Source organism: Homo sapiens, chromosome 5, assembly GCF_000001405.40.
Source record: "Homo sapiens chromosome 5, GRCh38.p14 Primary Assembly".
Lineage (NCBI taxonomy): Eukaryota > Metazoa > Chordata > Mammalia > Primates > Hominidae > Homo > Homo sapiens.
In genome coordinates this window covers 159625120-159640331 of record NC_000005.10, presented here as the reverse complement: position 1 = coordinate 159640331, position 15212 = coordinate 159625120, and the positions used below count along the sequence as shown (strand labels likewise).

General features: G+C 38.3%; 1 long non-coding RNA gene across 2 annotated transcripts in view; it reads right to left on the bottom strand.

The window, feature by feature from the left end:
- Window positions 1-10714: 10714 nt before the first annotated feature.
- The window catches only part of LOC105377684 (uncharacterized), a 114041-nt gene continuing 109543 nt past the window's right edge, over window positions 10715-15212 (bottom strand). For both annotated transcript variants that reach the window (XR_941139.3, XR_941141.2), the window contains one exon: window positions 10715-10927. This is a non-coding gene — a long non-coding RNA (uncharacterized LOC105377684). The remainder of the gene's footprint in view (window positions 10928-15212) is intronic.

Sequence of the window (15212 nt, the reverse complement as noted above, 5' to 3'; positions counted from 1 at the left end):
ATAACAGGACCTATGTCATCTGCTTGCTGAAAGGATTAAGTTGGATAATACATCTAAGGCATCTAGCACACCTCTTGTCTTATAAGAGATGCTTAAGTGCTCTATGTTTTAAAGATAGTATTTCCTCAAAAGAATTTAACCACAGAATTAAGCTTTCATTCTGAGAAATATTTTAGAAAGCTTTGGAGAGCACTCTGAGCCGCTCACTTACTAGAGTCTAACTTTACTTATCTGTGACACACAGAACCTATCTAACTCCTTGGGAGACTCTAAGAATGGGATTGGATAGAAGGGAAAATAGCTCAGGGAAAAGAACATTACATGGCATTTGTGGCATACACTGTGAGGAGCCCAACCAACAGCCATTCTCAACTTCCTCCCTAATAGAATCCTGATTTTGTTCAAGGAAGTACTTTTTCCGTTTCAAGAACTAGATCATGGTTGTTTTAAGCCAATCTTAGCAGCCTTTCACTTTTACTAATCAGGTTTTTCTCCAGCTTTACTCATATTTAGGGATGGCTGTGAGACCCAGTTCAGTCTAGTCGTATACAGTTGACCCTTGAACAGCACAAGTTTGAACTGTTTGTCCACTTATACATGGATATTCTCCTGACTCTGCCCCAGGAGAAAGCAAGCCAACTCTCTTCTTCTTCCTCCTGCTTGGCCTACTCGGTGTGGCAATGATGAGGATGAAGACCTATATGATGATCCACTTCCACTTAATGAATAGTAAATATATTTTCTCTTATGATTTTCTTAATGACGTCTTATTTTTCTCTTGCTTTATCATAAGAATATAGTATTTAATACATATAACATAGAAAATATGTGTTAAATAACTATTTATGTTATTGGTAACACTTCTGGTCAATAGTAGGTTATTTGCAGTTAAGTTTTTGGGGAGTTGAAGGTTATACACAAATTTTCAACTGCATGGAGATTAGTGCCTCTCACCCCCATGTTGTTCAAGGGTCAACTATATATGCAAAAGTCTGCCAAGAGTCTTTGGGGAAAAAAATTTGTTGTGTTTTTTTACATAAAAGATACCAATGAATGAAGAGTTTATTTGTGTTATCTCTTCTTTCTTCCTGCCTTGAACACAGATGTGATGTCTAGGGCTGTAGCTTCCGTTTTATGATAACAAGGCAATGAGCATGAGGACAAAACTCCAACAGTTAAGGATGACGAAATAAGTAGAAATATGTTAAATCTTTAGTGCCATTGTTGAGCTGATGAAACAGCCCAGGAACTGCCTACATGCAGGCTTCTTGCTAGGTGAGATAATAAATGACTTTATTGTCTCAGCCACTGTTCATCTGATATTCTATTATTTATGGACAAAAACATCCTAACTGAAACAACACAAATATGAGAGCTAATTATTATAACTTTTCTCTAGGAATTCCTTTTAATTTAAAGTTGTGAGTGTCTACAAATTGTGGCTTGACAATTGTAAATTATTGAGGGTGTGCTTGAGACATCCTAGGAATTCTTAACATGAATGGATATGAGGAAAGAAATACTGTTTCTTCCAAGAAAGTCTGAAAAACCAACAAAAATTAATTTTCTTCATATTATTTTTCTTCACATCATCTATGTTCTTTCCCTATAATTTTCTGAGGCCAAGGGCCATTGTGCAAAATGATATGTACATTACAGTTGTTGTTTTCTCTGAATTTTTCAGAAAAATTTTTATTTCTGCCAGCTCCTCTCCATGCAGCTGACTTCTCAAGCTGCATGCACACTAGCATGAGATGTATACTTATAGAAGAGGCTTACTTTCCTGGGAAGTGTGTTTGTGAATCAGAAATGGAGGCAGAACTGCATTGAAAATAGAAATTTTCCTTGTTTTGACTGAAAATTAGATTTCCTGGATTTTATGTTATTAGATTCAGGTTGCTAGTATTTAGTTGAGAATTTTACACCCCTATTCATGAGAGATATTCATCTCTTGTTTTCTCTTGTTGTGATGTCTTTGTATGGCTTTGATATTAGGGTAATACTGATCTTTTTCTTTAAAATCATTAAATAAATACTTAAATTTCTAGAAAATATTTAAAGTTTTGGAAACTTTTAAAGAGATAGTACTAATTCTCCTTTAAATGTTTAGTAGAATTCAGTAGGAAAGCCACCTGGACCTGGGCTTAACTTTGTAGGTAGGTTTTTATTATTTTTATTATTAATTTGATCTTTTGACTTATTATTATAGGTCTAGTCAGATTGTCTAATTCTTGAGTAAGTTTCAGTTATTTCAGTCTTTCTAGAAATTTCTCTATTTAATCTAAGTTATCTAATTTATTGGCATACAATGATTTATAATATTTCTTTATAATCTTTTTTAGTTTTCCAAGGTGAGTATTGATATCCTTTCATTTCTGATTCTAGTATCTGAGTCTTCTTGTTTTCTTGGTCAACCTAGCTAAAAGTATGTCAATTTGGTTGACATTTTAAGACAACTAGATTGGCATCATCACTTTTTCTCCATTGTTTTTCTGTTCTCTACTTTATTAATTTCAACTGTGATTTTTATTATTATCTTTCTGCTATTTTCTGTAGGTTTAGTTTGTACTTCTTTTTCTTAGTGTCTTAAAGTAAAAAGATAGGTTATAGATTTAAGATTTTTTTTCTCTCTCAACATAGGCATTTACAACTATAAGTTTTCCTCTGAACATTGCTTTAGCTGCATCCCATAAGTTTTAGTATGTTTTGTCTTAATCTCATTCATCTTGAAGTATTTTCTGATTTTCCTTTTGATTCTTTTTTAATCCACTGGTTATGTAGGAGTATATTTTTTAATTTCCACTTACCGTGAGTTTCCTAAATTTTTTCCATTATTAATTTCTCATTTCACATGGCATGTGATCTATCTTGGAGTACATTCCTTATACACTTGAGAATAATGTACATTCTGTTGTTTTTGAGTAGACTATTCTGTAGATGTCTATTAAGTCTAGTTGGTTTGTAATATTGTTAGGAAGCTTCTATTTCCTGTTGATTTTCTGCTTAGTTGTTCTATCCATTGTTAAAATGAAGTATTAAAGTTTCCAACTATTATTGTTGAATTATTTATTTCTGCCTTTTTTTGTCAGTTTTTGCTTCATGTATTTTGTGTTGTATTATCAGGGGCATATATGTTTATGATTGATATATTTCCCTGAAGGATTGACTCATTTATCATTATAAAATATTTCTGTTTGTCTTTAGTAACATTTCTCATTTTAGCATCTATTTTGTCTGATATTCATATAGCTACTTCAGCTTTCTTGTGGTTGCTGTTTGCATTGTATATTTTTTCCATTCTTTTTCTTTTGATTTCTTTGTATCTTTGAATCCATAATGTGCCTCCTGTAGATAGCCCATACTTGGATCTTGTTTTTTATTCAGTCTGACAATCTTTGCCTTTTGATTAGATTCTTTAATAAATTTACAGTCTTATTGATATAATTGGATTTATGTCTGGCATTTTACTTTTTATTTTCTATGTGTCTTGTGTTTTTTGTCTCCCTAGTCTTCCTTCATTACTTTCTTTGCATTAAGTGAATAATTTTAATGAAGCATTTAAATTTCTTTAATAACTGTTTTACTAGTTTTTGAGTTTTCTCCAAAGTGAATACCCTAGGGTATGCCATATACATTTTAACTTATAGCAATTAGATTCAGAGTTATGCTAGCTTAGTTATAGTGATACATAGCAATGTTTTTTTACATATATAGCTTGATTTCCCTTTTTGTGATATTATTTTCATTCATATTGCATCTTAATGTTAGAAACCCAACACTACATTGTTATAATTATTGCTTTACCATCTGTAGTCATTTCTTTTGCCCAATACAGATCTACTACCACTCATCTCCTTTGTACTGTATTGGCAAACATATTACAAATATATCACATATCTATATGTTATAGACCCAATAATATCTTATATACATATTATTTGTACATTTTATTTTGAATCAGTTAAGAGAAGAAAAGAGAAAATATGCATTTATACTTTTTTTATAAGTACATAACGTTTATCAGTTTTCATGTGTGTGTGTTGCAGGGGGTGGTATTTGAATTAACATCTGGAGTCACTTGCTTTCAGCCTGAATAACTTCCCTTAGTGGAGAGAACTTCCTTTTGCATAAGGTGGGTCTGCTAGCAACACATTTCTCTCTGTATTTGTTTATCTGTGAGTGTCTTTCTTCTGCCTTCATTATTGAAAGCTGGTTTTGTTAAACATAGAATCTTTGGTTGACAGTTCTTTTCTTTGAGCACTTTGAATATGTTATCCCATTGTCTTGTGGTCTCCATTGTTTCTGCTAAGAAGTCAACTTTTAATTTTATTGTGATTCCCTTGTAAGAAAGTTGTTTTTCTCTTGCTACTTTTTAGATTATTTCCTTGTCTTTGACTTTCTGCATTTTTACTATGATTTATCTGTTTGTGGATCTCTTTGTGTATATCTTACTTGGAGTTCATTGAGCTTCCCGGATGTATAGGTTAGTGTTTTTCAGTAAAATGGAGGCATTTTCAGCCACTATTTTTTCAAATAATTTTTCACACCTACCTCCACTGATTTTGAGAGCACCCGTAGATCTCAATTTCTTCACACTCTGTGGCAAGCAAAGTTGATTCCTTTGGGAAGAGAGAAGCAGCTATCTGTAGTGTGGCTTGTTTCTGCCCCAGGCAGAATTTCTGAACCAGAGCTCTGGAGCTGGGAGTAGAGAAATTTTAGGAGCTGAGCATTCGTTGGAGGGGGTTCAGTAACTTAAGGTCTTCTTACTTGCTTCTTCTGGCATGGAATCTCCAACTTACAACCCAAGGCGAGAGCAATCAGTGCTCCAGTATTCTCAGCACACTGTGTCCAAGCTAGACCTTCATTTCATGAGTGGGAAATGGGTAGGACAAGGGAGCTTCCCAACTCCTTGACCACACTAACTTAGGACTTAGCCTTAGTGACAGGTAGCTGGGGGCAGGATGAGAAATGCCGATGTCTTGTTTCTCCTAGGAAGAAAGCCCCGGACAGGGAGCTGGGGATAGAAGGTGCCTTGTGTGTTGACTGCACCAGTCTGGAGTAGAATTTCCACCTCACTGAGTTGGGAGAGAGGATAAAGGAAGTAGTCTTTGTTCAAATATCAATACTTGGTTCACTTTTCTTATTGGATTTTCTGAATTTTCTTTTTTCTTTTCTTTTCTTTCTTGCCTTTTTTTTTTTTTTTTTTGATGGGGTCTCACTCTGTTGCCTAGGCTGAAGTGCAAAGGCGTGATCTCAGCTCACTGCAACCTCCACCTCCCAGCTTCAAGCAATTCTCCTGCCTCAGCCTCCTGAGTAGCTGGGACTACAGGTACGTGCCACCACGACTGGCTAATTTTTTTGTATTTTTATTAGAGATGGGGTTTCATCGTGTTAGCCAGGATGGTCTCCATATCCTTACCTCATGATCCACCCACCTCGGCCTCCCAAAGAGCTGGGATTACAGGCGTGAGCCACCACGCCTGGCTCTTACTGAATTTTCACAGATTGTCTTGAATAGGTGTTTCTTCATTTGTTATATGCCCTTAGGGCCATTTTCGAAGGCTGTAAATGTTTGCTTTAAATAATTTTCACTGGTTTCACTAGGTAGTAGGCCCACAAAGCTCCTTACACTGTCATTCAGAAATCAATTTTATGGTCTGCATTTAAGATCTTTTATTTGATAGTTTTAGATCTGTGATGTGTGGTACTCCTGATCATTAGAGAAGACTTACACTGATTTTCAAAGAATGACTGACACTATTTCATTTTATAATTGGTGTTTATTAGTAGAAACTAGAAGCCTGAATATTCCTTTCATGGTTAGTGAGATGTCTGGTTCTACCAGTAGTTCATTCATTCATTCAACAAAGTTATGTCAAATGTCCAGAAATCCTTAGCAATGTTCTAGGTGCTGATGATTTTGAGCTAAATACACACACATACACACACACACACACACACGCACACACGTGCACACACACATACATGCACACACTTTTTTTGTTGTTGTTGGAACTTGAAATCTAGTGAGTGAAGACAAGTAATAAACAAAGAGAAGGCCGAGCATGGTGGCTTACGCCTGTAATCCCAGCACTTTGGGAGGCTGAGGCGGGTGGATCACCTGAGGTCGGGAGTTTGAGACCAGCCTGGCCAACATGGTAAAACCACATCTCTACTAAAAATACAAAAATTAGCTGGGCGTGGTGGCATGTGCCTGTAATCCCAGCAGTCAGGAAGCTGAAGGAGGAGAATAGCTTGACCCCAGGAGGCAGAGGTTGCAGTAAGCCAAGATCAGACCACTGCACTCCAGCCTGGGCAACAGTGAGACTCTGTATTTAAAAAAAAAAAAGGAAAAGAAAAGTTAAGAGATACGTAAACAAGGTGATTAGAGATGATGATAAATCCTACGAAGGAAGCAGGATCATCAGATAAATGTGAGGCTCTCTAAGGTGTTGCCCTAGGAGCTGAGACTGGAAAGACTAGGAATCAGTCCTGCAAAGAACCAGAAAAGAGCATTCCAGGGAAAGGAACGAGTAATGCAAAGGACTCGAGTCAGGAGGAAGCCTAATATGTTGAAGGAAAAGAAACAAGACCATTGCAGCTGGAGGAATAAAGGGGAGGGTGACAGAAGAAAGGCTGGGAAAGCAGACAGGAGCCAGATCAGTCATGGTATAGAGTTTGAGTTTTATTCTAAGGGCAATGGGAAACCATTGGAAGGTTTTAGGCAGAAACGTGGGGACAGTGACACGAGAGATACTGTGGGAAGCAGGATTCAGATGTTTAAAATCAAAATTTTCAACACTGACCTCTACCCTCAGTTAAGACTCCACATAAATTTTTATAGGTTCTTGACCCTGTTTTCTAAACATCCTTCTCCCTAATGTAAGTTGATCTATTTCTCCAGTCCACCATCACAGCCAGATGTACATCTGACTTCTTCCTTTTGAATCTCCCACCTTAACGCTGTTTATAGGCTCCTCTCTACTCCCAGGAAAAGAATGGCAGGTATACTTCCATTTTTGAAAGGAAGCCCTCTTGAATTTGCCCTGTGCAACTCAATTTCCTTTCCCTACTACCTTGTACACCTGTAGCTATTCCTGCCTGTGAAGTAGCTCCCAAATCTACAGCTCTCTGGCTCTCTTCCAAAGAAGAGATGTTTTATCCTGGTTTCCCAATGATTACTGTAGGCTAGAAGTTCCCTAACACTCTGGTTGAGTTTCTCTGACTCTGCCAAGCCCCCAAGTCAAGTAGTAAATTCTGTGAAAACACACTTAAGTGCTCCCGGTGGAGCTCTGGGTTTGAACTGCTTTCCTTCTGCAAGAAAACACGTCTGCTTTATAGCTTCAGATTTTCCTTTATATGGCTTTCTTAAAGAAAGGCATGCCCTGAGCCAGCATTTTCTCCCTACTCAATCCCATGATAATAGTTCCCAGTAACAGAGGCTGCGGAGTCATGGTTGAGAGTGTGGCCCTGACTTCTTGGGTTCGAGTCCTGGCTCAGCCACTTCACAGTGGGTCTGGACAAGATGACTTCTCAAAGGCTCCCATGCTCTGCCTAGAAAATGTGGATAAAGTGATACCAGCCTCAAAGGGCTATTGTGAGCATTGAATGATACAATGCCTCGCACATAGTAAGCACTCAGTAAGTGTTGTTATTATGCCCACATAGGAAAAAGTGACTAGACCAGTTTACTGACATAAAAAGATGCATAAACAGAAGGAGAGGGCAAGAGAGAGAAAGAAAGAAAAAGCATAAATCACCACATTCTACCCCAGTGTAATGTCATGGCTCTGTCTGGGAACTAGGACAACAGAGTTACAGAGCAGATGCCAAGGCTGGTAAGAAATGAAATTTAGGGAGGCTTCTGGAAGCTTTGAGATGCAAATCTTACCGCAAGCTGCAGGCAGGCTACAAGGCTGGGAAGTGCAGCTCATTCACTCTGTCTAGAAACCTCACCATCATTGTCCTTCCCACCCAAAGAGATGGGCTGCACGGGTGAGTGACAGTCCAGACATCGGCTAAGATGTACTTGTCACACTGTCCAAAGAATATCCTCTATTGTTGGGTTTGGCAGTGAAATTTGGAAGAAGTTATAATGGAGAAATAGCACAAGGAGGCAGATAAAGCAGTAGACTCATCATGGGTACCTTAGTCCTAGTCCTGCCACCTGAGAAGTAGCTGGCAAGAAGATTCTTCAGAGCTCACTTTCCCCTGCTTGGTTAGTTTTCTCATGTGTATGATGGGGAGGTGAGATAGATGATCTTGAAGGGGACCTCTTCAGTTGCAATATTCTACAATGGTAAAGAACAGAGTTGTCCCTATTTTCTAAAATTCTCTGTAAGAGGGTTATATAGTTTGGATAACTATGGCCTCCAAATCTTATGTTGAAATATGATCCCCAATGTTGGATATTGGGCCTGGTGGGAGGTGTTTGGATCACGAGGTCAAATCCCTCATGAGTGGCTTGGTGCCATTCTCGTGGGACTGAATAAGTTATCACTCTTAGTTACCACGAGAATTGGTTGTTAAATGAGCCAGGCACCTCCTCCCCTTTCTCTCTTCTCCTCTCTGTGATGCCTGCTTTCCTTCACCTTCTACCATTAGTGGAAGCAGTCTGAAGTCCTTACCAGAAGCAGATGCCTGCACCATGCTTCTTGTACAGCCTGCAGAACCATAAGCCAAGTAAACCTCATTTCTTCATAAATTATCCAGTCCCAGGTACTGCTTTATAGCAACACAAATGGGCTAAGAAAGACAGAGAGGAGGAAGGGATTGGGCTACCTAAAATTGGAAATTACTTAGAAAAAGCCTTGCAGAGTCTTGAAATTAGCTCCTCATTACTTGTGTTCACCCTCCAAACATGCTGACTAAAATCCTAACAAAAATTAGAATGGCCAAAATGAAAGATAATCAATACCAAATGTTGGGAAGAACATAGAGAGACTGGCACCCTCATGCACTGTTGGTGGGAGTGTAAATAGTGCAACCAGTTTGGAAAACTGTTTGGCAGTGTCTGCTAAAACTGAACCACACATGTACTGTAAGACCTAGCAATTCCACTTCTAGGATTATCCTCAACAGAAATGCCCATCCATGTGCACTAAAAGACATGTACAAGAGCATTCATGACAGCATTCTATGCACACTGCAAATAGCCCAAATGCCTGCTTAGAATAGAGCAGATAAATCCTAGTATATTCATATAATGAAACACCTGCCGCCTTAGAATGAAATGAACTATAGCTATGTGCGAAGCCATAAATAAATCTCATGAACATGATGAGCAAAAGAAGCCAGACATGAACGAGTATATTTTGATTAACTCCATTTATATAAGGCTTAAAAGCAATAAAAACTAATCTGTTGGAAGTCAGGAGATGATTACCGTTTGGGGGGGATTAGTGATTAAGAGGGGGGCACTACGATTTCTGCAGTGCTAGTAATGTTCTGTTGCTGTGGGTGCTGGTTGCACAGGAAAGTTTACTTTGTGAATATTAATTGTGCTATATACTTTTGATTTGCATATATGTTATACTTCAATAAACTTACCAAAAAATAAAAGCTCAAATATGCAAGTCATGTTTGAGCTTATTTCCCCTCGAGGGAAAGAAAAAAATCACATTCTTGCAGCAGGTACATATCTCCATGCTCAACCTTGGAGAGTTAAAAAAAAATGCCACTTTTGGCTCTCTATACTGAACTTCATTTGTATTCTCTGTCCCTCTTCTCACACTGTCCTCCCATACACATCCCATTCTGCCAATAGTAGAAGCAATATCAGTCAAGCCTATGTCTCTCTCTCACCTCCATCTCCCTGGATTGTGTCAGAGCTTTAGTGGCCCTGTACAAGCTAGAGTGAGCTGAGGAGGGCTGATCTTGGTGCCATAGCCTGGCACTCAGGAGACATGCACTGAGAGGGCCCTGTCCTCATCAACCTCTGGCTATTTGCCTACACAGGTCACTGCTTTGTCCTGTTTTCCCATCATAAGACCTCTTCAGCTTTACTTGTTAGCCTCAAAACCAAGACCTGATTTGTGCATTCTTCCAAAGCAATGAGAGCTGGCACCCACCTGTCCAAATGTGGCACGGAGGGGAGGAAGGTTGTGGTTATGGAAAATACCATGGGAAAACCACAGGCCAATATCTCAAAGTTACAATCTTCTCACCTTTTCGTCTGACAAACATGGTGTTCATTTTGGTAGCCTGTATAACCTATTTTGTGAGCAGATTTCCCAAAGAAGGAGGAACAAGAGGCTATTTGGGGTGGGATGGGGTGGAAGGAGCAGGCAAGATACGGACAGGGTCAGTGCACTCATTTCCTAGGGCTGCCATAATAAATAGCCATAAAGTGGGTGCCTTAAAATGTATGTTATTCTCTCACAGTTATCTGGAGGCTACAAGTCTGAAATCAAGGGATTGGCAAGATTGGTTCCTTCTAATGGGTTTAAGGGAGAGTCTGCTTTGTGCCTGTCTCTTAGCTTTTGGTGGCTGCTGGCAGTGCTGGGCATTCCTTGGCCTGTAGAAGTATCACTCCAATCTCTGCCTCCAGTATTACATGGCATTCTTCCCTGTGTGTGTCTCTGTGTGTCCAAATTTCCTTCTTTTATAAAGACACATTGGATTAAGGCCTACCCTAATCCAATATGACCTCATTTTGACTTAGTTACATCTGTTTATTAGTTTGCTAGGGCTGCCATAACAAAGTACCACTAAGTGGGTGGCTCAAACAACAAAAATTTATTGTCTTTAAGTTCTAGAGACTAGAAATCCAAAATCAAGCTGTCAGCAGGGTTGGTTCCTTCAAAGGGCCGTAAAAGAAAGGTTTCAGGCTCTCTCCTTGGTTTATAGATGGCTGTCACCTCCTTCATCTCTTTACATCACCTTTTTCATGTGCATGTCTCTCTCTGTGTTCAAATTTCTTCTTTTCCTAAGGACACCAGTCATAGCAGATTAGAGCCTACCCCGATGACCTCATTTTAACTTTATTACTCTACTTACCACTGTAAAAAGCTTATCTTCAAATAGAGTCACATTCTAAGGTATCAGAGGTTAAGACTCTATATTTTTGCGGGGGACAGATAGTGAGGCAGACACAATTCAACCCCTAATAATCTGCAAAGACCCTATTTCCAATTGAGGTTGCATTCACAGGTCTTGGGACTTAGGATTTCAATATAAGTTGTTGAAGGACACAATTCAACCTAAAATAGTGAAATCCCATGAATCTCTGAGAACTTCCAGAATAACTTCATCATCCCTCAGGCCAGGATATGATTCTAGGAATCCTTTGACTGTGCCCTGAGGTCCCCCAGGACTCCACATGTACCTCTAGCACAGTACTTATTACATCATATTGAAACTTGTGTGACATCTGTTTAGGTTTCTGTCATCAACCCCCCTGCACACACTGCTTAGGACTGCAAGCGCCTCTAAGATAGGGACTAAGTCTTATTATTCATCTTTGCATTCTCAGCTCAGAGCCTGGCATAATACAGTGCTAGATGAGTGTTTATTGAGCAGAACTGACTTGTTGGCCTATTACTTACCAAAATTGTCTTGTTTCATAATTTGCCATCAGTCATGAGCAAATAAGCAAGCCAAACATGCTCTTGGATGAGTATTTAAATTATATAATCACAGGCTGTCAGAATTGTGGGGGTAACTTAGAGATTTTCTAATCTAAGAGTGGCAGATAACTAACATGCATCTCACCATTTCCAGCTCTGTACCTATGGCAGACATTACTATCTATCATGGCATTCTTTCCCACTGAACTTGGATCAAACTTCAGAATTGTTCTTAACTCCGAAAGATGAAACCAAATACTATTTCTTGGGAAGTTTAACTCCATACCTTCCAACAGATGAGAAAATTGAGACTCATTATAAGAAAACATATCAAAGATGACCCAATGATGGTGGCAGAGAACTGGAAGCCTCATCTTCTAATGCGTAGGGCTATGTTTGTTCTGCCCCATCCCACAGGTTTTCCAAAATGTTCTAGTAAAACTTGCATCATTGATATATTGCTGCATTAAATGACATTGGCTTGCACAGTGAGAAACATCATCCTTCTTATTTTTATTTTTATTATTTCAATAGTTTTGGGGGAACAGGTGGTGTTTGGTTACTTGGATAAATTCTTTAGTGATGATTTCTGAGATTTTGGTGCACCCATCACCCGAGCAGTGTACACTGCACCAGTGTGTGGTCTTATATCCCTTATCTGCCTCCCAACCATCCTCCTCAAGTCCCCAGACTCCATTATGTAATTCTTATGCCTTTGTGTTCTCATAGCTTAGCTCCCACTTATAAGTGAGAACATATGATGTTTGGTCTTTCATTCCTGAGTTACTTCACTTAGAATAATGGTCTCCAACACCACTCAGGTTGCTGCAAATGCCATTATTTTGTTCCTTTTCATGGCTCAGTAGTATTCTATGGTATACACATATGCCACATTTTCTTTATTCACATTTCTTTATTCACTTATTGACGAGCATTTAGGCTGGTTCCATATTTTTGCAATTGCGATTGTGCTGCTATAAACATGCATGTGCAAGGGTCTTTTTCATATAATGACTTCTTTTCCTCTGGGTAGATACCCAGGAGTGGGATTGCTGGATCAAATGGTAGTTCTACTTTTAGTTATTTAAGGACTCTCTATACTGTTTTCCATAGTGGTTGTACTAGTTTACATTCCCACCAACAGGGTAAAATTGTTCCCTTTTCACAATATCCACGCCAATGTCTTTTTTTTTATTTTTTAATTATGGCCATTCTTGTAGGAGGAAGGTGGTATCACATTGTGGTTTTGATTGGCATTTTCCTGATAATTAGTGATATAGATCATTTTTTCATATGTTTATTGGCCTGTTGTATATCTTCTTTTGAGAATTGTCTATTCATGTCCTTAGCCCACTTTTTGAAGAGATTATTTGTTTTTTTTTCCAGTTGATTTGTTTGAGTTATTTGTAGATTCTGAATATTCATCCTTTGTTGGATACATAGTTTGCAAATATTTTCTCCCATTCTGTAAGTTGTCTGTTTACACTGGTGATTATTTCTTTTGGTGTGCAGAACCTTTTTAGTTTACTTAAGCCCCATTTATTCTTTTTTTTTTTTTTTTTTTTTTTGCATTTGCTTTTGGCTTCTTAGTCATGAAGTCTTTGCCTAAGCCAATGTCTGAAGGGTTTTTCTGATATTATGGTCTAGAATTTTTATGGTTTCAGGTCTTTGACTTAAGTCTTTGGTTCATCTTGAGTTGATTTTTGTATAAGGTAAGAAATGAGGATTCAGTTTTATTTTTCTATGTGGAGCTTGCCAGTTATTTCAGCACCATTTGTTGAAGAAGGCATCCTTTCTCCACTTTATGTTTTTGTTGGCTTTGTTCAAGATCAGTTGGATATGAATATTTGGTGGGGTTTTTTTGTTGTTTGTTTGTTTTTGATGGAGTCTCACTCTGTTGCCCAGGTTGGAGTGCAGTGGCATGACCGTGGCTCACTGCAGCCTCCACCTCCCAGTTTAAGTGATTCTCCTGCCTCAGCTTCCTGAGTAGCTGGGACTACAGGCATGCACCATCACTCCCCACTAATTTTTGCATCTTTAGTAGAGACAGGTTTTCACCATGTTGGCCAGACTGGTCTCGAACCTCAAGTGATCTGCCTGCCTCAGCCTCCCAAAGTGCTGGGATTACAGGCATGAGCCACTGTGCTCAGCTAAGTATTTGGCTTTATTTCTGGGTTCTCTTTTCTGTTTCATTGGCTTATGTGCCTGTTTTTATGCCAGCACCATGCTGTTTTAGTAATTATAGCCTTGTGTATAATTTGAAGTTGGGTAATGTGATGTTGCCATATTTGTTGTTTTTGCTTAGTCTTGCTTTGGCTATGTGGGCTCTTTTTTTGTCCATATGAATTTTAAGATTTTTTTTTTTTAATTCTGTGAAGAATGATGATGGTATTTTCATGGGAATTGCATTGAATTTATAGATTGCTTTTGGTAGTATGGTCATTTTCACAATATTGATTCTACCTATCCATGAGCATGGGATGTGTTTCCATTTGTTTGTGTTACGGATTTATTTCAGCAGTGTTTTGTAGTTTTCCTTGTAGAGATCTACCACCTCCTTGGTTAGGTATATTCTTAAGTATTTTTATTTTTTTATTTTTTACAACTGTTGTAAAAGGAGTTGAGTTCTTGATTTAATTATCAGCTTGGTCACTGTTGGTGTATAGCAGTGCTACTAATTTGTGTACATTGATTTTGTATCCTGAAACTTTACTGAATTCGTTCATCAGATTGAGGGGCTTTTTGGATGAGTCTTTAGGGTTTTCTAGATACACAGTCATATTATTGGCAAATAGTGACAGTTTGACTTCCTCTTTACTGATTTGGATGCCGTTTATTTCTTTCTCTTGTCAGATTGCTCTGGCTAGGACTTCCAGTACTATGTTGAATAGAAGTGGTGAAAGCGGGCATCCTTGTCTTGTTCCAATTCTCCAGGGGAAATGCTTTCAACTTTTCTCCATTCAGCAGAACGTTGGCTGTGGCTTTGTCATAGGTGGCTTTTATTACCTTAAGATATGTCCTTTCTAAGCTGATTTTGCTAAGGGTTTTAACCATAAGGGGATGCTCGATTTTGTCAAATGCTTTTTCTGCATCTCTTGAGATGACCATATGATTTTTGTTTTTGCTTCTTTTCTGTGGTGTATCACATTTATTGACTTGTGTATGTTAAAACAACCCTGCATTTCTGCTATGAAACCCACTTGATCATGGCGTATATCTTTGATATGCTGTTGGATTCAGTTAGCTAGTATTGTTGAGGATTTCTTTCATCTATGTTCATCAGGGATATTGTTCCGTAGTTTTCTTTTTTCGTTATGTCCTTTCCTGGTTTTGGTATTTGGGTAATACTGGTTTATTGAATGATATAGGGAGGTTTCCCTCTTTCTCCAAGTTTTGGAATAGTTTCAGTAGGATTTGTACCAATTCTTCTTTAAATGCCTGATACAATTTAGCTGTGAATCCATCTGGTCCTGGACTTTTGTTGTTGTTGTTGACATTTAAAAATAATTACTCTTTCAATCTTGCTACTTGTTATTGGTCTGTTCAGAGTTTCTATTTCTTCCTGGTTTAATCTAGGAAGATTGTATATTTCCAGGAATGTATCAATCTCTTCTAAATTTTCTAGTTTGCATGCATAAAGGTGTT